The sequence below is a fragment of the Homo sapiens genome, chromosome 9 (assembly GCF_000001405.40).
Source record: "Homo sapiens chromosome 9, GRCh38.p14 Primary Assembly".
NCBI lineage: Eukaryota > Metazoa > Chordata > Mammalia > Primates > Hominidae > Homo > Homo sapiens.
The window spans coordinates 63,991,049-64,017,790 of NC_000009.12; the positions used below are offsets into that span (position 1 = coordinate 63,991,049).

At 39.9% G+C, this 26,742-nt stretch overlaps 2 pseudogenes across 1 annotated transcript in view; one reads left to right on the forward strand and one right to left on the reverse strand.

Moving 5' to 3' along the window:
• The window catches only part of LOC728877 (Zn regulated GTPase metalloprotein activator 1C pseudogene), a 29,420-nt pseudogene extending 16,287 nt beyond the window's left edge, over nucleotides 1-13,133 (reverse strand).
• Nucleotides 25,902-26,742, forward strand: part of FLJ43315 (asparagine synthetase pseudogene) — a 44,663-nt pseudogene continuing 43,822 nt past the window's right edge. Inside the window, 1 exon segment of the transcript NR_033856.1 lies at nucleotides 25,902-26,212. The product of NR_033856.1 is annotated as an asparagine synthetase pseudogene (transcript).

A 26,742-nucleotide genomic window follows, 5' to 3' on the forward strand; every position in this document is an offset into this window, starting at 1 on the left:
TATTATGCACTTGTCTGTGTGACATTTTGTAAAGCGGAGAAAAATTAAGGAGAAAGGAATTGTAGAACACTAACAGGAAGAGGACAGATACTGAGGAATGGCTCATGGTATAAGTGAGATTATCAGAGACTTTCTACAATGGAATTTGAAATGCAGGGAGCACATTTGGTGTATGGTTGTAGAGGACTTACACTAAGGGCATTCTTCGGCTACCTCTGCCAGCAGATGAGTGGCTCCTGAGAATGCATACCAAATTAATTCCCCAGCTGTTCACATGCATATAAGCAGCTGCTGCTGTTACTGCCTAACACTTATGGCAGTCTGGCAGCACCTCTAATCTCTGCCATAGCAGACAAGCCACTCACCTAAGGCCTCTGCTGTACCTCCAAAGAAAGAATTTCTCAAGTAGAGACTGAGTGGAACTAGACTGCCAGCTGTGAGCCTCAGAGCTCCTGGCTGCCTGTTGCTGAGTCTATCAGCTGCTGAGCCTTTCTCCCCAAAAAAAAAAAAAAAAAAAAAAAAAAATGAGCTTAATAAAATAACCCTGCACAGAAATTTTCTGAAATTAAGATAACATTCAATGGAAAACAGAATTTAATCTACAGAAATACACTTCACAGATGTTTTAGGAACAGAACCTAGAGAAAATGAAAGTCAAAATTTAATAAAAGAATTTGTCAGGAACTTCAAGGTAAAGACTCCATGTATTTTTTGGCAACTATAAAACACTAAGAAGGCTTTTTAAATATTAAAAAGCCATTTAAACACTTCAAATTAAGATTCCTCAATATACTTCAGATTTCTGTACTGAGTTACCCTCTCGAGTGTTTGGAAGTCTTTTCTTCCTCATTAAGCAAACACTTACACAGTGTTACCATGGCTTTGTAATCTTAGTTTTGAAGACAGGCAAATGTACTAGTCAAATATGCCAAACTAACTTATTAAGAGCATTCCAAACAACATTTTGGATCCAATTCTTTTTAAATGCACTTAGATCTTTCTTATATCAGAATCAAGCATATTTGTCAATTACTTAATGTTTATTATTAATAACTAAAATGATTTGTTATTAATAGGAATAGCTTTTTTAAAGTACCTTGATCTTTGTGTTTCTAAGATTTGTCCTAGTCCATTTATGGATCTGAAATAAATAATAAATGAGGAAGACAAAGTTTAAAAGTAAAAATTAACTTTTTAAAAAAGTATACAAAGTATATTGTTTCTAAAACAGGAAATAAGCATACCCAAATACATCTGGAACCAGAAAAAAATTAAAAACAGAAAAACAAAACTTGCTTTAAAAAATAATTATGATTTTCCTTCAAACAATAAATCACATATATTCCACTCATACATCAATAAAACATATATGCAAAAATTCGCACAACTGTCAGATTAAGGGCTACTTTGTGGTTAATAAAAAGACGCTTCACTTTAGAAAAAATCATTCATAAATAGTCAGTTATCCTAGTGATCTTAAAAATGAGTAGATACTCAAAATTTTTACGGTGGTCACTTTTTTCCTCAGGCATACATGGTAGAAATGGCTATATACACACTAAAAATAAAAACCTAGTTGTAAGTTGCTTTGCCCCCAGCCTGTCCTTAGTATTCACAGTAATTCTAAGTCACACATCCCAGGTTCCTTTATAGAATAACCTCCTCAGTTCCCTAATTAGGCTCTCTACCTGTTATGCCTATTCTCCCTCTTTTGATACTATAGAATATGGCTTGGTATTGCACCAAAAAGTACCTGTTAAATTCTTTTCAGCACACTGTACACCTCATCTATTTATCTTTTCCATTGCCTATCATCAATCATCAATTCTCTATCATGAATTCAATTGTCTTTAGGGTTACTTACCCAAGATTCTTGCTACTTGTTCAAGGTTGTTCTCATGCGTAAGGCTTCCCACATATAATGATTCTGAGGCAAGTCTCTCCACTATTTTACAAAATTCTTAAATCTTCTTTTTTGAATACACTCTAGTCTGATGGCTAATTCCTCTCAAACATGTTTACCTTTTTTCACCTCCCCAAATATCATTCTGAGTCAGTCACAAGTCTGATATAAAGGGAGGGTAAAAGCCAAAAGGGTGTGTAATTTATCAAACTGCTTCTTCCAAATTCATTTCTAGTACTGTTAACAAGCTGGCTAATAGTCAATATTGTCAGTGTCAGAGATTTAGCTTAGGTCTCTATAAGGATATAAAAGTCAAGTAATAATTATCATTCCTTTTATGCCAAAAACGTTTGCTAAATAGATTGTGTTCTTCTTAGCAATCACAATGGTGCACAAGATTTATGAAGGAAACAAGATTAGAAGACCAGTGTCAAAAAATGTAAAAGCAATCTTCATTCATCACTTTCTCCTTTTCAAAATCAGCCATCTTTTTCTTTCTTCCCTTTTTTACTATACCTTGAACTTACTATGTAAGCTAAGAAAAAAATTACATAATAATAGCTAACAGAGCACTTAATATGTGTCAGCACTGTGCAAAGTTTACCAACATTGTCTCATGTAATACTCAAAGCAAACTTATGATAGGCATTATGCCTTTTACAGAGGAGGCTTTAAAAGGGTAAATAAGCTCCCTAAGAAGACAATGAGAAACAGACCAAGGATTAGAACCCAAGCAGATTCCAAGGTCTGTGATCTTCAACACTACGCAACAATACCTACCCTCCACATGGAGACATTATATTTTTTTATAGTAAAGTTTAAGGACATTACTATTAAAATAAGATGAAATATGTGGAAAAAATGTGAATTTCTTTCTTCCACAATCATTAATCATGGCAAATAATCTCCTAATGAGCCTTACCTTTATTGATTCAATTTATAATATATACTATAAGAACTGAGATGACAGATTCAAAATCTAATGTCAGTAGAACTTATAAATACTAAGAATAGTAATTTTGAGCCATCACACTCAAAGCATTGTACACATTAAAGATAACCAATAATAATAGCTACCGAATGTCTCTCTGTATAGGGCTTTTATTAGTTCAGGTCTTACAAAATAATTCAAAACAAAGTCCCTGAACTATAACTTCATTTGAAAAGTCCATCTTTGTTTTCAAAAGGAATGGGAGTCTCCAGAACAGTCAGCAAAATGACTGTTAGCACATATTTGAGCATCATTCATATCGTCCTGATTGTCCTATGCTGATCAGCCTTGGCTATGGACAAAGAAGATATTAAAGCAAGCTGGAAGACAAGGCATGGTTGACAGTTAAGGAAGATGAAGTCAACAAGAGTTCAGGGAAAACTGAGACCACTTGAGTCAGGGAAGACTTCACATAGGAAGGGGGGAGAGACAGAATAGGCTCTATAGAATAAATTAAAAAAAAACAGAACAAGAAAGAACTGAGGGATTGGCAGAGTGAGAATACATTATGAGTAAAGACAGGAACTGAGAGGATGCATCCATGGGAAAGTGAATTAACCATCCTGGGTAAAGTTAGGGAAGACTGACATTAGGAAAGAGTCAAAGAGAAGACAGGAAAAGAAAGATGGAGTGCGAAGACCCTGAATATCAGTCTATTAACTGTGAACTATATTCTGCAAGCACTGAGGACTAATTTTATGTATTACCATTTATATAACAATTAGCCATCAACAATATATGTGATTCTCTAATGTTCTTGAAGCAGTTCAACCTTATACCTTAAGTTTCTACAGGGCAACAATCAGAGTAAAAAATATTCTGTGTATACAATATGGATCTGTAGGCACTTAACACACTTATCATTTTGTACCTAATTGTTGTTCTTAATTTCTTTACATCTTCTTCTGGAACCAAGTCTGTTTTATTAATGAGAACGATATCTGCCAAAGCAACTTGCCTAAAATAGCAAACAAAAAGAAATGTTAAGAAATTTTAAATAATATACATGCATGCAGATTAATACATCAAAAGAGAAATGTTAACAAATTAAAAATAAATAAAAACACCTCATGTAAATCAATATATCAGTTAAGAATTATATAGTGCTCTATAGGAGTGATTCAGTTTACTCCTAATCCGCTAATTTTTCAATGTGAATGAATTGTATTCATTACTATGCAAGTTCAGATTTCACATTACCCATTTGCAAAGTATTTACTAAGTTCTGTTACTTGCTACTCTTGTGCTACAAAGATAAGTCTCAAAAAGTTTACAATCAAAAGGATGATTTTAAACTCATAATTTTCTTTGTGAAGAAAAGCATAAAATTCAGATATCCAATATGGTAAAAAGAAGAGTTTACCTACTAAAATACTGTAATATTTACCAAAATTTTCAAAGAAATAGAATAACTTCACTTAATACTAAAAACTGTATTAAACAGGGTTTTTTTAAAACTATACTTCAGAGCTGGGCATGGTAGAGCACACCTGTAGTCCTGGCTACTTAGGAGGCTGAGGAGGGAGGATCCCTTAGGCCCAGGAGTTCAAGTCCAACTTGGGCAACATAGCAAGACTCCATTTCTTAAAAAAAATAAGCTATACTTCAGAAGATATATCAGGATATTGCACAAATGTCTTCTTTATCACTATAAATATACTGTATATTATCTCTGTAAAGAATCCAGTTGACTGAATGCTAGATAACAAAGTAGATGATAATAATCAGAAGCTCTATTTTCTATTAACAGGATAGTAAAACTGGAAATTCTTTCAATTTTCCTCAATTATTCAGGGTCTTATGCTTTATCTCAAAGAATACAACTAAATTCTCAAAACTAAATTAACTTTAGTTCACTGAAAGAGCAGGTTTCAACAGTATGTACATCACAAATCCAATTTGGCTATTTTCTATTTGGCTTATTTATATTTTCTATAATAACCATATTTTCATAAGGAAAAAAGTTACAAAAATACTTAAGTTCAGCCAGACGCAGTGGATTCATGCCTGTAATCCCAGCACTTTGGGAGGCCGAGGCGGGTGGATCACCTGAGGTCAGGAGCTCGAGACCAGCCTGGCCAACATGGTGAAACCCCATCTCTACTAAAAAAAAATAAAATTAAATTAAAAAAATTAAAAAAAAATGCAAAAATTAGCTGGGCATGGTGGCAGGTGCCTGTAATCCCAGCTACTTGGGAGGCTGAGGCAGGAGAATCGCTTGAACCTGGGAGGCGGAGGTTGCAGTGAGCCTGCACTTCAGCCTGGGTGACAGAGTGAGATTCTGTCTCAAAAAATAATAATAATTATTATTATTATACATATATATATATATAAAATCTTCAATCCCAAAGAAATTGTATAACAAGAAAATATTTTTAAATGTTAATATTTCCCGAGTTCCTCAAAATTACAGAACTCCTGTGTTCAGCATTCACTTTATGCTATGACAAAAATGACTTTAAGTAAAAGTTTAGTTATGAGAACATTATAAATAGATAGCAATAATTCAACTAAGGGAAAAAAAGAAAATAAATTTTCCTTGACTATGTTTTAAAATTTCTTAGTTTGTTTTTGGTTTTCATCTTAGTGATTTTTCTCTTTACAATTAGCCAGCAATCAATATATACTTTAAATATGAATACCTAGTAGCTTCATTGATAAGGCCATCAGGTTTCTCTTCTGTTAAATGCTAAACAAAAAAAAGTTTGAATAAAGTTACTATAATACAATAAAAAATCTAATGTCAACACAAAGGATTTTACTTTAGAGACATTTTCTTGCATCTAATGAAAACTTCAACATGTTCTGTTACTGAATACACAAATCCAAAACTAACTTTTCTAGCTGAAAGCATTTTTCTTCCCCATTTGCAATTTTTTTCTACAAGTGAACCTGTGGGGTTTTATAGGGGGAGGAAGAGGGCTTAGGACTTCATACTCCTGACCTTTTCTTTTACTTAAAAGGAAAACCCCTTTGATTCACATAATGTCATAAAAACATAGAAGATTACAGTTCAGATTTTAGGTATTTTCCTTCTTACAAAACTGTTCTGGTTCTAAATATTCATTATTACTTATTTTAAAAAAAAGATAACCACTGAAATATAGTTTCTTAGAATCTAATATACTTCCCTTCACACCAAACCCTCATATTAGAATCTAAAATACTTCCCTATACCCCAGCCCACAATCATGCACCACGTGAACTCAGTACTAGGCCTTTCAAACACCCTAGAAACAAATAAGTGGTGGGAAGGCTGATTCAGCCCTGATTCTAGCCTAAAAGCAGTTTATCATTTAGAAACCCATACTTGCTAATCTGGCCTCTCAGTGCAACTATTTATTTTACTGACCTCTCCAGAGTCAGGCTAACTCCAAAAAATATTTTGACACTGACTTAGAGCCCAAGTGGTAGTTTCCATCTCTCTGGAGGCAAGTTTTGTTGTCTGTTTTTTTTTCCCCCCCTCATAATCCTGTTTACATCCCTAACGTCATCAACATCACAAGCTTCTTCTCTGGGAAATTACACTTTTACCCTCATTACCTCAAACCTCAATAGAGGTTCCCTGTCACAATAAAAAGCTGGCTACTGAGGTTTAGAGGCAACTAGATTATAGTAATACTCTATATTTGAAGCCAACTTTACAAATGAATTAAATCCTTGAATCTAACTTTATAAATTATATACATTTTTCTCATTTAGCTTTCATAATAATTATGGGAGATGGCTATTTTCATTTATAAAGGAAGAAACTAAATCTAACACCCTCATCATCACAGGATACTATATTTTATATACAATCACAGGGACTTTTTTTTTTAATTGAACACACACCCATCAAGTAAAATGAACATAATTTTAAAGTCTTTGTGAAATCTTTTATGCCACATAAAATCAGTCTGTGTACAATGCTACACAAATGTCAATAACCATATATCAGAGCCAAACCAGTTTCATAATTCATGGGGAGATGATCATTAGGGGTATCTGAAAAGTTTGGAACCTCAGAGCAAGCAGGTAATAATTTTATTTAACAAGCTTGATTAGGTCTATAGAAGAAACATTTTTTCCTTCTAAAAGTTCAGCAAATTCTATTTTGAGGAAAACAAAACTGAAATAAAATCATGGCAACGATACTTCTACTTCAGGCAAAATCTTGTTCAATTCAACTGCAGACCCACTCTGCAATTATGGAAGTCACAGAACTTGACAAGTATTGTATCAAAAATCATTCCATGCCAAAAGATCAAGTTTAATATTTTTTTCATAATTCATCTTGGCCTGAGGCTACAACAAGTCCTATTGTTATATACTCTGCCTCTAGAGAATGAGGCTGCTAACAGACCTTGGAATGGTGCCTGGCACAAAGGCTCAAGAAATATTTGTTGAATGAATTGTAATTAACACCTCCTGTTGTGGGGATACATAAAAGATGTTACATGAAAAATGCCATCTAACATGCAGCAACAAATCTCTTCCCATTAAGCAGTAAATCTACTTAACAATGATATATTTTTGGCAAGGCATCGGCCTCTGAATGATCCTATAGTACTGAAAATTCTTTTTAAACTGAAATATTTTTCAAGATATATTATTGACCTTATGAAAGCTTTTTTAACATATGAAATTGGGGTTATCTGGCTATGAGTTTGTGAGGCATAAAAATGATATGACAGAAGAATTACAGATTTGTTTTTGCATTTCCATGCCTAAATGTAACTAATACAATGTTAGTTTCACAAGGTAATGTGCAATGTTTTAAATGCATTTACCTCTCCAAAATATTAGAATTCTTCACTCAAAGCTAACAGTGGTAGACTAACGTTTTACTACTTCCAGGCAGTCAGAAAGTATCAAATATAAAAATAAATGAAAATCACCCCAAATGAGAGCCTGCCAATATTTACAGCTGTATTAAAATTATATGTAATCATATACAATTATAGCAGAAGAGATAAATGTCCTCTTCTATGCCCATAGGAAAGCTATACAAACATTTAAAAAAATAAGTGCATATTAACATTTATTTTCTTTAGACATCAGCCCTGCATTTCCCTCATGTGACTTCCTACCTTCCCAAGTCAAACTCTGCAAAAAGTATAAAATCAATGTCTTCTATTCAAAAGAACATTCTCCAATAATACATTATATACCATTTGGTCATTAAGTCAGATGACTTTCATTTATAAAATAAAACAAAATGGAAAGTTTGGCATTGTATTCCACCTGTATAAGTAAATGAAGAAAAAAAATTTGCAAAATATTTTTTAAATATTTTATATTACATAGATGTCCAAAGTATTCCTTATCTCTGCTTAACAACTATGGCTTTTGCTTATATATCAAAAAAGACAAAAATAATTTTGATACTAATTAATCCAACATATTCAAAAGGCTAAGGATCAAAACCCCAATTTAACTTACCACAAGAAACAAAGGAAATTAAAGGGGAGTGGTGTGAGATGTTGGTCAAAGAATACAAAGTTTGTTATACAAGATGCATAAGTCATGGAGAGCTAATTACAGCATGATGACTGTAGTTAATTCTATTGTATACTTGAATCTGCTAAAACATAGATCTTAATTGTTCTTACCACCCCCTCTCAAAAAAATAGCAATGTGAGGTGATGGATAGGTTAACTAGCTCGATTGTTTGATAATGTAATTCACACACTGTATACCTTAAATATATATAGTTTTTACTTGTCAATTATACCTCAATAAAGCTGGGGGGTTAGGGAGAGAAACAAAGGAACTCTCTGAAATAACACCACTGTAGACCTAACTTCATGAAGGGCTATAGGGTGTCCTTTTCTGCAGAAATAAAGAAAGAAGCCGGACCGAAAAAAGAGAAAGAAAGAAAAGAAAAAACTGTCTTAAAACCCACTGGCTATGAAAGAACACTGCTGTTGACCAGAGTGGAAATAAATCTAGTGTCAAAGATGTCTGGTGTCATTTTTAAAAAGCAGCAGCAGGAACTATTTCTTTCAAATGGATTGGTTACAGATGTAACACTATTTTAGTTTTTAAAAAATTATTGCATAATGTCAGTCTATTTATTGTTCTGGCCTTTTCCAAGCTAACTGTTTTCTGACTGAATTGTTTCAACAGATTGTGCAACATAACAGAGGAACCAAGAAGAAACCTCTCACTTGACCTTCTCTGGGTAACTTCATTCATTGCTTCTATTGCATTAAATGCTGTCACATTTGTAGAACTGAAAAGAACAATGTCAGTAGCCCGGGTGTCAAGTCCTCAGAATAGAGAGCTGTCATTTTAAGTTGTCCAATTCTTTGCCTATGATTAAAAAATGAATATTTCAGATCAATGGGTGACAATCCCATTAGAGTGATACCCCATGATATCAATTACCACTTCAGTTTCAATTTGGCTGGCTGGCCACAGGGTACCATTTCTCAGCTTTACTTGTCATGGGCTGGCTCTGTGAAGCATGACATTCTTAAATTGCTGCCCATTATCCAAGTGTCATTACTTGTACTGCCTCAGAATTCTCTGAATCACAAGCAGCTACTGAGGTCAAGCTTTGCAACCAGAGGAATTGGACAAGTTGGAAAATTCTTTATATCAAGGCAAAGTTATTTATCTGGCATCCGACTTAGAAAATTTAAAGTTTCCATTATCCTGACAGTGTGTCAGTTTTGTGTAGGTATATTGATTTAATAATTTAAGAGGTTTTATCAAGGTAGCAGAAGGTTAAACGTTTACTGTGTTTGCATTATTCAGAATGTTGCTTTGTTTTTTTGGCCTCCATCATGCTGATAATAGATTCTATTTAACTCTTCTCCATACCCAACTATACATATAAAATTTTTCCTATAATCATAAAATACATAAACAGTTTGACTTTTAGCATGGCATTTTCAGTTTATCAAAATAAAAAAAAAAACAAAATGTCTTAGCAGTTATCTGTCACATAGGTATATCAAATTTTGTAATTAATTTATGGAAGAGGTAGATTCAAACATGCCTATAATAAACATTCAAAATGAATAATTTGGGGCTTTTTTGCTACCTCCATAAGCATTTTGCAAGAAATATGATTTCCAACAGTCATTGGAATTTTTCTGCGTGAAACTGTAATACTGTATTTGGGATCATTCTTTGATTCTTAAATTATATTCATAAATTCATAAATTGAGATTTTAAACTCTAAAAAAGGAGTTTTCTTCCAAACTTTTCAAATTAGGGCACTCTATCAACGAGGGAGAGAAGGCCCAGTGAAGAGGTATTGGTAGCTATTTGACAAACCTGACATATCCCCTTAGAGCATAATTTCAGCAAAGATTTGGGAAAAAAAAGCAAACTTAAACATTAACAAGTTCAGGCCGGGCGTGGTGGCTCATGCCTGTAATCCCAGCACTTTGGGAGGCCGAGGCAAGTGGATCACTTGAGGTCAGGAGTTCATGACCAGGCTGGTCAACATGGTAAAATCCTGTCTCTACTAAAAATACAAAATTAGCTGGCCATGGTGGTGTGCACCTGTAATCCCAGATACTCAGGAGGCTGAGACAAGGGAATCGCTTGAACCTGGGAGGTGGAGGTTGCAGTGAGCCAAGATGGTGCCACTGCACTCCAGCCTGGGCAACAGAGTGAGACTCTGTCTCAAAAAAAAAAAAAAATTAACACGTTCAGATATGAGGTTGGATACAAAACAGACACTAATTTTTAAACACTGAATTTAAACTTCTAAGAACTTACTGCTTTGGGCCCTATCCATATGCTCAGATTGGGAACGGGTCAGTGGGTGGGATGATTTCATTCTCTTCTGCCTTTAGTGGTATTTCACCTGGGAAGTTGAGAAACATCATTTTACTGTATGTAACAACATACTTTTAAAGATCTTACTAAATGCATTTTATAAATTAAACCTCATTTAAATGCATTCTAGGACCTTAGAAGTTAACAAAAACATTCATAGCAGGATGTCTTTTACACTTGATCTTAGCCAAAAGACCAAGAAGTGATGCAAGATACCTTTTAATGGAGAGAGTCTTCTTACTAATCCTATGTGTATAACCTGATTTTCTTCAATATGTACTTTTTAAATTTTAAGTTCCAGGGTACATGCTCACGATGTGCAGGTTTGTTACATAGGTAAACGGGTGCCATGGTGGTTTCCTGCACCTATTAACCCATCACCTAGGTCTTCAATATTTTTTAAAAACTCATTTCCAGTGTGTGTTTAATAGTAATTTAACAAGAAAAATAAGATCTCAGATGCTTTATCAAGCTCAGCTTCTTCTATGGAACAGAAAAACTTACCAATATTGGGGTTGAATCCTTGTGAAGAGCTATACATACCAAACTCTATCCTAACCCCATATGCTTATTACAAATTATAATTCCAAATTTTATCACCAAATCAAACTCAGAGTAATAGAAAAGAAATATTTAACACAAACTAATAATTAAAACACAAATTTCACCTATTGTTCAGGATATCTTTTTGAGAAAGGTTTTTGTTAAAGAAAATTTCAGATACAAACATAAAGAAAATTAAACAATCAATCCCCATATTCCCAGCTCTCAATAATGAGCCACTCATAGCAATCTTTCAACTTACTTTTAATCCATATTTTGAATCCACAATAGTTATGATACCTACAAAGGAAAAAACATTTTAATCACTTTTTAAAAAGAATGCTTATTAATACTTGTGCAACCATACTTCAGAATGAAAATTAAAACTAACCTATTTCAGTTCACAAATACTACTCAATAAAACAATGTACTATTTTTTTCTCTTGCCAGTGCTGCCATTTAATTAAATTCCAGTAATAAGTCAATGCATTTCCTGAGTGGCTAGCACTATTTTAAGGCACTAGAGAAGATATAAAACAAATAAAAATTTTAAATTAAATAAATAAGAAAATAAGATTTCCTTGGCACTGAAAAAGCTTACAATCCAAAATATAAGTCAAATTTCATAACATAGTCAAATGTGATAAGTACATAAGACAGGTTATTTCTAGTTTATTTTCACATAATCAAAATCAAGACTTTTCTTAAGATTTAAATTATTGCCTAAAGAATGAGACATCTTAAGGTATCATTCCTAACATCTCTCACCAAATCCAAATCCAACTCATAAATGTTTTACATAACATATGCCTAAGTTTCCAAACTACCAATTCATTTTGCAATCTCTGAATATATGCTGATAACAAAAGAATGAGTTTATGCCTAAGGAATTCAACCAGTTACCCGCCACATATATTAGAGCTCAATGATGGGGCCCAGCTTAATAATTCTTAAATTTCTTAATGATTATTACTTTTGAAAAAGTAAGAAAATTTCGACTGGTTTTTAAAAAGGTGAAAAAGGGAAAGAGAAAGGGAGAAAACATAGTCGCTTAACTAAGAAAGTTTCTAATATATTTTAAATGAAGGCATATCATTGCCCAAAAGTGTTCAGGTAAATAAAGTAAGGGAGGAGTGTTTAATTCTTATCTTCAAGAGAAAATAAAAGCAAAAATATGATCCTCATATTGCCTGGAGGATTAAAATAAAAGGCTCTAACATTACATTAAGGGCATAAATCAAACAACAGAGGATACAGAATACCTACAAAGCATTTTTTTTTTTTAAAGAAAACCTTAGTGGAAGCACTAAATTGGAAGTTGAGTGACATCGAGTTCCACCACTGTCTGGGGTTTTTTAATCTATATGAACAAAGATTTCATCATTAAACTAAAGTGTGAAAAGAACCACAATGCAAGGAATTAAAGTTATAATATGAATGAACAACAATAAGCTTAACCATAAAGATTTTACTAAAAAACAAAAGAGGCAGGGTGTGGTGGCTCACGCCTGTAATCCCAGCACTTTGGGAGGCCGAGGCTGGCGGATCACCTGAAGTCAGGGGTTCAAGACCAGTCAGGCCAACATGGCGAAACCCCATCTCTACTAAAAATCCAAAAATTAGCCAGGTACGATGGTGCACGCCTGTATTCCCAGCTACTCGGGAGGCTGAGGCAGGAGAATCACTTGAACCCAGGAGGTAAAGGTTGCAGTGAGCCGAGATCTTGCCACTGCACTCCATGCACTCCAGTCTGGGCAACAAAGTGAGTCTCTGTCTCAGAAAAAAAAAAAAAAAAACAAGAAAGATAAAAGAAAACTGTTTTTTAACTTACCATCAAGGTAAATATCACTCCCTAATTCAGCATCAACCCAAAACATAGAAGCCACTGCACCTGAAAATATATAATATTCATCAAATAAAAATATTTCTTCACACTGAGAAACATGATTCTATCCATGTTTTAATTTGCCCTGATAAAATTAACAGGTAAACACATATATCTTCTTATGGAAATTATAGTGATAGAAGCTTTAACTATTTAGAGCAAAAGGGAATTATAGTGATAGAACCTTTTACTATTTATACCCATTCCATTTCCATCTCTCTTGTTATTTCCTTTAAAAAAGACCAATTCTAACCACATATAAACAAAACATCATTCTTCTACCGATGTCATAATAATTTAATTAACAGATATTATCAAACAATTTGAGCAGTATGGCTTTGTGCACATCAGACTTATTTTTATTTTCTCACCTCTTTAATATGATAATCATTCAATCATAAATAGTGAATTATCACTCTAAAGGAAAAGGAAAACAAAACATAGATAATTCCAAAATCACTTGCCCAAAAAAATTTTACTTGTAATCTGTGTAGAACTAGAAGTAAAATTATATACTCTATGACATTACTAATTATTCCTCACACTATTTATTTAGGACTGTATAAAACCTGGGTCTTAGGAAAAATTTTTCCTAAATAATAAATTAAAACTTGCTTTTGACAGAAATTGGTTCAGTACCAAACCACATACCCTGATTAGTATGCCACAACGCAAGAAAAAGAAAACTGACAGCAAGGAAAGTATTTGATTTTTGAAAGCATCACAGGCCCAGTTAGTGACAGGGCTGTCTAAAAGAATGAGTGTAGGAGAAAAACAAGGATAATCAAACTCATTCCAACGTCTAAAGCTGTCCACCTGCTCTGACAAGATGTGGTCCCCCAAGCATCACTCAGTGTCAACAATGAAATACCTGTCAGCTGTTTACAGTGATTACTCATGCAAGATATAGCAAGGGCCACAAGATCTAATGGTTTCCTGATACCTATTGATTTTTTTCCCAAAAACTTAATAGTTTTCCAATTTGACTCAAATAGCATTTGTGAGTAACAGGGGCTGAATCAATGTCCGTTCTTTTCAAGGAAATTACTTTACCATGACAATTATTTAACTTAGAACTGGAGAGTGTCAGTCTCCAAAACGGGAAACAACTGAATTGCCAATAAGAATTTTGTTCACTTTCTTGGCTAAAACATGATTTTAATTAATGAGGGGGAAAATTAAATCTACTGTATCACTACTCCAAACAATAAGTCATTTAAAAAAGCATGAATTTTTTCACTCAGTAAAATATCTAACATACATAAATCATTTTGTAATTTTTAAAAATTCATTGATTTTTAGTCTAATAAATAGTTTACAAATCCTACTGTTAATATTTGCCTCTTAAGTTGAAATGTAAGAGTATATTAATGCTTTATTCTAAAACTGGTATTTATCTTTGATATAATACTTGCCAGACTACATGAGAAAGATCTATTTAAAATTTGGATGTAGGTATTTAGGAGGAGTAAAGATGAATGAACAAAATTGATCAGTGGCTCTCAAACCAGGGTGCTTTTCTCCCCAGGGAATATTTGGCAATGTCTGAAGATGTTTTTGGTTGTCTTAACTAGGGGAATGCTACTGGCATCTAGTGGGTAGAAGCCAGGGATGTTGTTAAATATCCTACTCTGCACAGGGCAACCCCCTCACAACAAATAATTATCCAACCCAAAATGTTATTTGTGCTGACACTGAGAAAACCTGAACTACATTTTAGAATCTCCCTTCTTCAAAATCTAATAAAACAAAAAATAAAAATAAAAAATAAAACAAAAAGGCCAACATTTTACTAGCAGCAACCAAATATAAAAGGGCCTGCCATAAATTTTGAAGACTGATAGTCAAAATAAGAAACAAAGTTATATGTGATTGATGGTCATTCCCAACTCTACCCCTACCTCCAATAAGAGGTTGTAGGGAAATAGTTTACAAAATCCTAAACACTTACCAGAAATACACTCCAAAATGGCAAAAAGTAGAGCCGAGGAATGAATAAGCAACACAGGGAAAAGTCAACAAAAAAATTTCAAGAGTGAGTTTTAACCATCTCCATGCTTTGGGAAGGAGAAGGTCAGGTCACATTCTAGGGCTCAGAACAAAGAGAAATGAGAGGTCTGAGGTCGAATGATGTCCCCATACAAGGCAAAGGAATTTTATTCATAAGCAGTTGGGCAGACCCAAGAGTGAAATACTTGGTACTTCAAGAGAGCAGAGCCTAAAAGCCACATTGCCCCATTTGGCTCTCTGAATCACCACTTTTCCCTTCTCTTTCCCTCCACTCCAACAATATACAGCTTTCAAACTAGGGCTCAGGAGAAAAACAAACTTGGGTAAGGAGAGTGGAGTATTAAAAATATTTCCCATCAGCACCACATAGAAGTTCTCCCATATCAAGAAGAAACATGTATGCATATGTATTACAGCCTGACAAAAAGAAACACACACATACAGGGAATAAAAAGCAAGAAAGAACACAAAATGAAGAAATGAATAGGGCATACAAATGGCAAAGAACCAACCCATTCTGGAAGGATACATAACCCAATAAAAACTAAAGAAAATTCTCAACAACTTCATCATAATGAAGAACTTGAAAACAATACAACCTTATAATAAACAAGCTCAAAAGCAAGAAGAAGCAGAATAAGATGAAAATGCAGTTTGTAGTGCTAAAGAAACTTAGAGCCTATATGACTTAACCAATTAATTATTTTTAATTATTGACTTAACCAATTAATTAATAATTATTAATAATTTAATTATTGACTTAACCAATTAATTAATAATTAATGACTTAACCAATTAATTCATTTAAAATATCAAAAACAGGACAGACACTGGAGAAAACAGAATTACTGACAAAAAGAAAGGCTTCAGATGATCACAGTAAATGCAAAGGTAAAAGACAAATCAAAGCAATTAGAATACATACGAAGAACAAAAGAAAATTCAGTATTAAAAAAACTGGTGTCATGAAGTAGAGGATCTAATAATTTGACCAAAAAAAAGTATTCATGGTAATAAACAAGGAAAATGTTCTTAGAAGAACTAAGGGCATATTATAATTTAGGCAAAAATGATTATAAGTGACACTTAGATATACCTTGTTTATAATACTGAATTTCAAAAATAAAGAAGAAAACTCTCAGGCATTTTAGATTAAAAAAAAAAAGTGCCTTCAAGGAGGGAGGGAGAAAAATCACTTTTCTACAGTAACACTAGATGTCCCAAAATAATAAAACAGTGACTACAAAGTTCTAATGAAAGTGTTCCCAAACAAGTTATTTTTCAGGAATGAAAGCAATAGACAGACATTCTCAAGCATTAAAGAAAACAGCAAGCATTGAAACTCAGAGACTATAATACTCACAAATTCTTCCTAATAAAAGGAGAAAACATTGGACAAAGAAATCCAGCCAATCAAACACTAGGAGATTATGGAACAACATTTACAAAGTTGAGGGGGAAAAAAGTGTGACTGATAAATTTTATACCTAGCCAAGTAATCCTTCAAGTAATATAAAAACAAAAGACAAATATTTTGAATCAATGAAGTGTATAAGAACCCAAAGAATGCATGCAGTACCTGTATCTTGAAAAGACTGCCTGACAATGAAATTCAATCAGGAGATGGACTAACTCGGGAATGGAGAAGCAACAGTACTGGTAATGAGCACCAAAACTATTAAAACATAGAACTAAAAGAATTACGACAGAACCATGACAACATAAAGAATATGATCAACATGAAACTAGGCCAATTAATATCCTACAATGGCCTCTAAGTGTTCAAGTGAAAGGAACAGTCACCTGTTTCTCACTTTAAATCAAGAGCTAGAAATGATTATGCTTAGTGAGGAAGTTATGTTGAAAGCCAAGATACGCCAAAAGCTAGGTCTCTTGAGCCAGTTAGCTAAGTTGTGAATGCAAAGGAAAAGTTCTTGAAGGAAATTAAAAGTGCTACTCCAGTAAACACACAAATGATAATAAAACAGCCTTATTGCTGATACGAAGTGATCTGGATAGATGATCAAACAAGCCACAATGTTCCCTTAAGCCAAAGCCTAATTCAGAGCAACCCTAACTCTCTTCAGTTCTATGAAGGCTGAGAGAGGTGAGGAAGCTAGAGAAGAAAAGTTGGAAGGTAGCAGAGGTTGGTTCACAAGATTTAAAGAAAGAATCCATCTCCATAACATAAAAGTGCAAGGGAAAGCAGCAAATGCTGATATAGAAGCTGTAGTAAACTACCTAGAAGATGTAGCTAACATCATTCATGAAAGTAGCTACACTAAGCAACAGACTTATTTTTTATTTATTTATTTATTTATTTATTTATTTATTTATTTATTTATTTTGAGATGGAGTCTCGCTCTGTCACCCAGGCTGGAGTGCAATGTGCAATCTCAGCTCACTGCCACCTCCGCCTCCCAGGTTCAAGCCATTCTCCTGCCTCAGCCTCCCAAGTAACTGGGATTACAGGCTCCCACCACAAAGCCAGGCTAATTTTTGGTATTTTTAGTCGAGATGGGGTTTCACTATGTTGGCCAGGCTGGTCTTGAACTCCTGAACTCGTGATCTGCCCATCTCGGCCTCCCAAAGTGCTGAAATTACAGGCATGAGCCACCGAGCCCGGCCAGCAACAGATTTCTAATGGAGATGAAATGGCCTCCTTTTGGAAGAAGATGCCATTTAGGACTTTCATAGCTATAGAGAAGTCAATGCCTGGCTTCAAAGATTCAAAGGACAGGCTGACTCTCTTGTTAGAGGCTAAAGCAGCTGGTGACTTCAAGTTGAAGCCAATAATCATTTACCATCCTGAAAATTCTAGGGCCATTAAGAATTATGCTAAATCTCCTCTGCCTGTTTTCTATAAATAATAAAGCCTAGATGACAGCACATCTGTTTACAGCATGGTTTATTTTAAGCCCACCATTGAGATCTACTGCTTAGAAAAAAAAAGATTCCTTCAAAATATTATTGCTCATTGACAACGCACCTGATCACCCAAGAGCTGTGATGGAGATGTACAAGGAGATTAATGTTGTTTTCATGCCTGCTAACACAACATCCATTCTGCAGCCCACTGATCAAGGAGTAACTTTGACTTTTAAGTCTTATTTAAGAAATATATTTCATAAGGCTATAGCTACCATAGATAGTGATTCCTCTGATGGATCTAGGCAAAGTAAATTCATCATTCTAGATGTCATTAAGAACATTCGTGATTCATGGGAGATCAAAGTATCAACATGAATAGGAGTTTGAAAGATGATTCCAGCCCTCACAGATGACTTTGAGGGATTTCAGACTTCAATGGAGGAAATAACTGCAGATATGGTGGAAACAGTAAGAGAACTAGAATTAGAAGGGGAGTCTGAAGATGTGACTCAATTCCTGCAATCTCATAAGAAAACTTTAACTAATGAGAAGTTGTTTCTTATGGACGGGAAAAGAACGTGGTTTCTTGAGATGGAATCTACTCCTGGTGAAGATGCTATGAACACTGTCAAAATGACAACAAAGGATTTAAAATATGACAGAAGCTTAATTGATAAAGCAGGGTTTGAGAGGACTGACTCCAATTTTGAAAGAAGTCATACTGTGAGTAAAATGCTATCAAATAGCATCATGTGCTATAGAGACATCTTTTATGAAAGGGAGAGTCAACTAATGCAGCAAACTTCATTATTATCTTATGAAATTGCGATAGCCACCCCAACCTTCAGTAACTACTACCCTGATTGGTCAGCACCCATCAACATTGTGGCAAGACCCTCTACCAGCAAAAAGATTACGACTTGCTGAAAGCTGAGATGATCGTTAGCATTTTTAGCAATAAATAATTTTAATTAAGGTATGTATGTTTTTTAGACAATTCTATTACACATTTTATAGACTACAGTATAGTATAAACACAGCTTTTTTTTTTTTTTTTTTTTTTTTAAGAAATGGGGTCTCATGCTGTCATCCAGGCTGGAGTGCAATCATGACTCACTGCAGCCTCAAACTCCTGAGCTCAAGTGATCCTCCCAAGTAGCTGGGACTACAGGCCTGTCACATCACACCCGGCCAAAACGCATAACTTTTATATGCAATGGGAAACAAAAAAATGTGTGTGACTCACTCTATTGTGATATTCAGTTTACTGCAGTGATATGGAACTAAGCCCACAATATCCCTGCGGTATGGCTGTACAGTATAAGAATCACCTGAAGGGCTTATTAAAAACAGCTTGCTTGACCCCCTCCCTTAGAGATTCTGATTCAGTAGATCTGGGTTGGTCAAGAATTTGCATTTCTAACAAGCTCCCAGCTGAGGCTGAGGCTGCCATTCAACATACTACCAAGTAGCACTGGCATAGAGAGATCCCTGGAATAAAATTTACCTACTTGTGTGTGTGCGTGTGTGTGTGTGCGTGTGCATGTGCGTGTGTGTGTGTATACAGTCTTGCTCTGTTGCCTGGGCTGGAGTGCAGTGGTGTGATCTCGGCTCACCGCAACCTCCGCCTCCCAGCTTTCAAGCGATTCTCATGCCTTAGCCTCCTGAGTAGCTGGGATTATGGGGTGCGCCACAACGCCTGGCTAGTTTTTGAATTTTCAGTAGAGACTGGATTTCACCATGTTGGCTAGGCTGGTTTTGAACTCCTGGCCTCAAGGGATCCACCTGCCTCAGCCTCCCAAAGTGCTGGGATTACAGGCATGAGCCACCATGCCCAGCCCCTACTTGTATATCACAATAGTGAGATGATAACTTTTCAACTTTCTTCTTTGTATTTTTTAGGTATTTAAATTTTTTTACAATGAATGTTCTATCTTTACCCAAACAATAAAATCTTTATTGTAAAGAAAGTTAGAAGCAAGAAACATTAACATTTTTTATAACTACAATTTGTATAAAAGCTTTCTCTGTGATCTTTAGTTTTTCTTTCTTCCTCTGAAAAGCTGAATCGTGTTTAATTAAACTCTCAAAAGTATCAAGTTTTTGTCTATAAAATGGCAAAACTGGCTATGATGAAATAAACTGATATTTGCTATTTCTAATAAAAGCATACAATATATTTTTCTTTCTTACCAGATTCAAATAATATTTAATGCCAACATATTAGTCCAAGTCCTATCATCAGTCAGATTTATCAGAAAGGTATGAAAACCCATGCCTACTATAAGGACCCAAATAGCCTAATTCAATACTACTTTGAAAACATGGGGATGATGTTATTATGTAATTGTTTTAAGTACAATAACCACTGATCACATTTGAACTCTCAGGATACTTCAATATTTCTTTTGGACAACTATGACCTGTTTAGTAAATCACCCCCAAATACTTTAATATAGTTTTACAAATCGCCCCAATGCCAGAGACCCAGATCAAAAAGAAAATAATGGTATGGGTCAGATTCACAGAATAAGCACTAACTTTTATGCAAACTGAAAATAAAGATTTTATCTAAAAGTCATTTGGGGAAAATAAGCAGACTTTATCAAGAATTAGAGCTTGGTAAGAAGGTAACAGAAACCCATTGTTAGAAACAGGTTGACTCTGTGTAGCTTTCCATAGTAGAGTTTAGAGTTTCTTGTCATGATTACCTTATCAATGCAGTATAATAACTACTTACACAGCACTTACATTGTATTAGGTATTATAAGTAATCTACAGATGATTTAAAGTATATGGGAGGATGTACATAAGTTATAGGCACATACTACACTATTTTATGTAAGGGACTTGAACATTAATAGATTTTGGTATCCTCAGAGGTTCCGGAACTAAGTAATCTAGTAAACCTCAGATTCTAGGTTGACATTCAGGCCCCCAGTAGTCACTTGGCCCCATGTGGACACTCAGGCGCCACATTCACATGATGTCTTAACTGGACACCAAGGGGCCAGTTTGATACCCAAGTCCTGTGTGGGTGCCAGGTCCAAGGTTACACTCAAGCCCCAAGTGGACACCAGACCCTAGGTGAATAATACAACCCAGGGGGTCATTAGGACCCAGAATGACACCAGTCCCCAGGTTAACAGGAAGCCCCCAGTGGGTACCCAGGCCCCAGCTGGACATCAGGCCTAATGTGGACACCCAGGATCAAGATGGACATCAGGACTCAGGTGGACATCTGGTGACAGGTGGACATCAAGCCTGATGTGTACCTTGTCCCCGCGTGGTCATCAGGCCCCAGTTCAACACCAGTCCCTGGGTGGATTCCTCGGCTCCAGGTGGACATCCATGCTGCAGGTGGACACCAAGGGCCCAGATGGGCATCAGGCCCCATTTGGACATTGAGGCCCCAGGTGGATATCAGGCCTCAGGTGAACCCAAGGTCCAACATAGACATCAGGCCTTAGGTTGACACTCAAGCACCAGATGGACTGCTGCACCTAAGCAGAAAATAGACCCCTATCTGGATATCTAAGATACAGGTATACAACAAGCCCCAGGCTGACATCCAGACCCCAGGAGGACACCATACCCCAGGTGAACAGCAGGCAACAGTTTGGCACCAAGGACCTAAGTGAAACAAAGCCTTAGGTGATTACCAGGCCATAGGTAGTCATTAGTCTCCAGCTGGACAATAGTCCCTAGGTGGATACCTAGGCCCCAGGTGGACACTAGACCCCAAATTAACACAAAAACCAAGTAAAAAATCAAGCCCCAAGTGGACAACCAGGCCCTAGGTAAATACACAAATCTCAAGCTGACACCAGGCCCTATTTGGACACCCAAGCCCTATGTGGACTTCGGACCCCAGGTGAACACTGAACTCTAGAAGGTCTTCAGACCCCGTGTTGACTACCTGGCCCCAGGGGGACACCAGGCATAGATGAACTTCAGGCACCAGCTGTACATCAGGTTTCAGGCAAATGTCCAGGTCCCAGGTGGAAATCAAACCTCAGATGAACACCAGGCCCCAGGTAGACATCACAAACCAAGTGGACACTCAGATCCCTACTGAATATCCATCCCCAGGTGGACATCCATCCCAAGGTGGACATGAGGCCACAGATGTACACTTAAGCCTAAGGCAGACCCCAGGCCCCAGGAAAACTCCAGGCTCCATGAGGGCACTCAGACCCCAGGTGGATGCATTGGTCCTAGGTAAATACAAGGCCCCAGGTAGACATCAGGCTCCAGTGAACACCGGAGCCCAGGTGGGTACCTAGTCCCCAGGTATGCAACAAGCAGAAGGTTGACCCAGTCCCCAGCTGAACTCTGGGCCCCAGCTGAACATCATAACCCAGATGGTCACCCAGGCTCCAGGTGAACACATGGTCTTAGGTAGACATCAGGCCCCACATGAACACCCAAGCCCCAGGTAGATATCAGGCCTTAGGTGTACACCAGACCTCAGGTGGGCATCTGGCTCCAGATGGCCATAGGTGGATAACTAAGCCTCTCCTGGATATCAGGCCCCAGGTGGGCACCAGGCTCCAGGCGAACATCTAGCCCCAGGGGGACATCCAGCCCCTGGTGGACATCAGGGCTCACATGGATAAACAGTTTACAGATGGACACCTGCCACAGGTGCCTCACCTCTACTTCCTGAAACCTCACTTCCCCTCATGGGCCTTCTGTCCGACTTGGGGTACCCCTAGCCGCCCTAGGCACACACTGGACTCGAACCAAGGGTGCCAGAGTCCCTGGGGCTCAGCGCAAGGGTTCATGGGAATACACTTTCGTCCGTCGGGACCCAGTCCTCACTTCTTGGCGGCGCAGTTTTTTTTTTTCTCTGCCCCAGGTGCCTCACCTTCCCCTCATGGGCCTTCTGTCCACCTTGGGGTACCCCTAGCGGCCCGAGGCATACCCTGGGCTCGAACCAGGGATGCCAGGGTCCCCGGGGCTCAGCGCAAGGGCTGATGGGGAGACACTTTCTTCCGTGGGGGACCCAGGCCCCGTTTCTCTGAGGCGTGTTTTTTTTTTTTCTCTGCCCCAGGTGGGTCACCTTCCCCTCATGGGACTTCTGCCCGCTTTGGGGCACCCCTAGCGGCCCCAGGCACACGCTGGGCTCGAACCAGGGACGCCAGGGTCCCTGGGGCCCAGTGCAGGGGCTGATGGGAAGACACTTTCATCCGTGGGGGACCCAGGGCCCGCTTCTCGGCGGCGCGGTTTTTTTTCTCTGCCCCAGGTGCCTCACCTTCTCCTCAGGGGCCTTCTGCCTACGTTGGGATACCCTAGCAGTCCCGAGGTGCACCCTGTGTTCACACCAGGGACGCCAGTGTCCCCAGGGCCCAGCACAGGGGCTCATCGGAAGGCACTTTCTTCCGTGGGGGACCCAGGCCCCGCTTCTAGGCGGAGCGGTTTTTAATTTTTTTCTCTGCCCCAGGTGTCTCACCTTCCCGTCATGGGCCTTCTGCCCGCCTTGGGGTACCCCTAGCAAGCTGAGGCGCACCCTGGGCTCTAACCAGGGATGCCAGGTTCCACAGGGCCCAGCTCAGGGGCTGATGGGAAGACACTTTCGTCTGTGGGGGACCCAAGCTCTGCTCCTCTGCAGGGTTTTTTTTTTTCTCTTCCCCAGGTGCCTCACCTTCCCTTCATGGGCTTTCTGACCTCCTTTGGGTACCCCTAGCGGGCCCGAGGCTCACCCTGGTTTCGAGTCAGGGATGCTAGTGTCCCCGGGGCCCAGCGCAGCGCTGATGGGAAGGGACTTTTGTCCGTGGGGGACCCAGGGCCCGCTTCTCCGAGGTGAGCTTTTTTTTTTTTCTGCCGCAGGTGCCTCACCTCTCCTCCCTCAAACCTCACCTTCCCCTCATGGGCCCTCTGCCCGCCTAGAGGTACCGCTAGCGGCCCAAGGCACACCCTGTGGCTGAACCAGGGACGCCAGGGTCCGTGCGGCCCAGCACAGGCGCTGATGGGAAGACACTTTCGTTCGTGGAGGACCCAGGCCCCGTTTCTCAGTGGCGCGGTTTTTTTTCTCTGCCCGGGTGCCTCACCTTCCTCTAATAGGCCTTTTGCCCGCTTTGGGGCACCCCTAGCGGGCCCTATTCGCACCCTGGTCTCGAACCAGGGTCGCAGTGTCCACGAGGTCCAGCGCAAGCCCTGATGGGAAGGCACTTTCCTCAGTGGGGGACCCAGGCCCCGCTTCACTGCGGCGCGTTTTTTTTTTCCTGCCACAGGTGCCTCACCTTCCCCTCATGGGCTTTCTGTCCACCTTTGGGTAACCCCAGCGGCCCGAGGCGCACCCTGGGCTCAAACCAGGGATGCCAGGGTCCCTGGGGCCCAGCGCAGGGTCTGATGGGAAGACACTTTCTTCCATGGGGAACCCAGGCCTCCCTTCTCCGTGGCGAGGTTTTTTTTTCTTTTCTGCCACAAGTGCCTCACCTCTCCTCCCTCACAGCTCACTTTCCTGTCATGGGCTTTCCACCGCGTTGGGGTACCCCTAGTGGCCCGAGGCTCTCCCTGAGCTCGAACCAGGGACCCCAGGTTCCCCGGGGCCCAGCGCAGGGGCTGATGGGAAGGCACTTTCATCCGTGGGGGACCCAGGCCCCACCTCTCCACGGCGCGGGTTTTTTTTTTCTTTTTCTATGACAGTTGCCTCACCTCTCCTCCCTCAAATTTCACCTTCCCCTCATGGGCTTTGTGCGCCCAAAGCCCCCCTTGGGGTGCAATTAGCGGCCAAAGCACACCCTGAGCTCGAACCAGGGACACCAGGGTCCCTGGTCCCAGTGCAGGGACTGATGGGAACACACTTTCGTCCGTGGGGCACCCAGGCCGTGCTTCTCTGTGGCGAAGTTTTTTTTTTTTTCTCTGCCCCAGGTGCCTCACCTTCCCCTTAGGGGCTTTCTGCCCACCTTGGGGTACCCATACTGGCCCGAGGCGTACCCTGGGGTCAAACCAGGGACGCCAGGGTCCCCAGGGCCCAGCGAAGGGGCTGATGGGATGGCACTTTCATCCGTGGGGGACCCAGGCACTGCTTCTCGGTGGCGCGTTTTTTTTTCTCTGCCTCAGGTGCCTCACCTTCCCCTCATGGACCTTTTGTTCGCTTTGTGGTACCCCAAGCGGTCCCGAGGCGCACCCTGGGCTCAAACCAGGGTCGCCAGGGTCCACCGGGCACAGCATAGGGCCTGATGGGAAGGCACTTTCATCCGTGGTGGACCCAGGCCCCGCTTCTCTGAAGCGCGGTCCTCTTTTTTTTTTTTTCTGCCCATGGTGCCTCACCTCTCTTCCCACAAACTTCAACTTCCACTCATGGGGCTTCTGTCCGAGTTGGGGTACCCCTAGTCGCCCGAGGCGCACCATGGGCGCGAACCAGGGATGCCAGGGTCCCTGGGGCCCAGCGCAAGGGCTGATGGGAAAAAAACTTTCGTCCGTGGATGACCCAGACACTGCTTCGCGGCGCATTTTTTTTTTTCTTTGCCCCAGGTGTCTCACCTTCCCCTCATGGGCCTTCTGCCTCTCTGCGCCTGCGCCGGCGCTGTGGGCCTCTCTGCGCCTGCGCCGGCGCTGTGGGCCGCTCTGCGCCTGCGCCGGCGCTGTGGGCCGCTCTGCGCCTGCGCCGGCGCTGTGGGCCGCTCTGCGCCTGCGCCGGCGCTGTGGGCCGCTCTGCGCCTGCGCCGGCGCTGTGGGCCGCTCTGCGCCTGCGCCGGCGCTGTGGGCCGCTCTGCGCCTGCGCCGGCGCTCTGGGCCGCTCTGCGCCTGCGCCGGCGCTGTGGGCCTCTCTGCGCCTGCGCCGGCGCTGTGGGCCTCTCTGCGCCTGCGCCGGCGCTGTGGGCCTCTCTGCGCCTGCGCCGGCGCTGTGGGCCTCTCTGCGCCTGCGCCGGCGCTGTGGGCCTCTCTGCGCCTGCGCCGGCGCTGTGGGCCTCTCTGCGCCTGCGCCGGCGCTGTGAGCCCTTGCGAGGGCGGAGCTGCATTCTTACCAGCACAGACATCGCCAGGAGAGCATCGCCAGGTCTGAGCTGAGTTCTCCTCTGCACAGACTTCGGAGATACAGCGAAGGCGGAGCAGTGTTCTCCTCAGCACAGACCCAGGCGGGCCGGGGGCACCGCGAGGGCGGAGCTGCGTTCTGCTCAGCACAGACCCCGGGGACACCGCGAAGGCAGAGTAGCGTTCTCCTCACAACAGACCTTGGGGGCAGTGCCTCGCTTTGGGACAACTCGGGGCCGCATAGACGGTGAATAAAATCCTTCCCGTTTGCAGCCCTGAATAATCAGGGTCAGAGACCAGTTAGAAGGGTTCAGTGTGGAAAACGGGAAACCAAAAGCCACTCTGAATCCTGCCCACCGAGGTTCTCCCCAGCCAAGGCGAGGCGGCCGCAGTGCGAGATCCACACCGCAGCCTTGGAAGACAAATGCAGCACTCCTAATGCAGAGATGACACCCAAAATATGACACCCCCATTGCTCATGTAACAAGCACCTGTAATGCTAATGCATTGCCTCAATACAAAAATATTAATATAAGATCCGCAATCCCCTTGCTGCCATGCAGTCCTAAGACAGAGATCATAATAATCAACATTGACATAGTCAATACAAACGTAGTAATGAACCTAGGGTTAAGGTTGGTGTTAGGGTTAGGGGTTAGGGGTTAAGTTTAGGGTTAGGGGTTGGAGATAGGGGTTGGGGTCAGAGTTAGGAGTTAAGAGTCAACGTTTAGAGTTAGGGGTTAAGAGAAGTTAGGGGTTAGGGATAAGGGGTTAGGG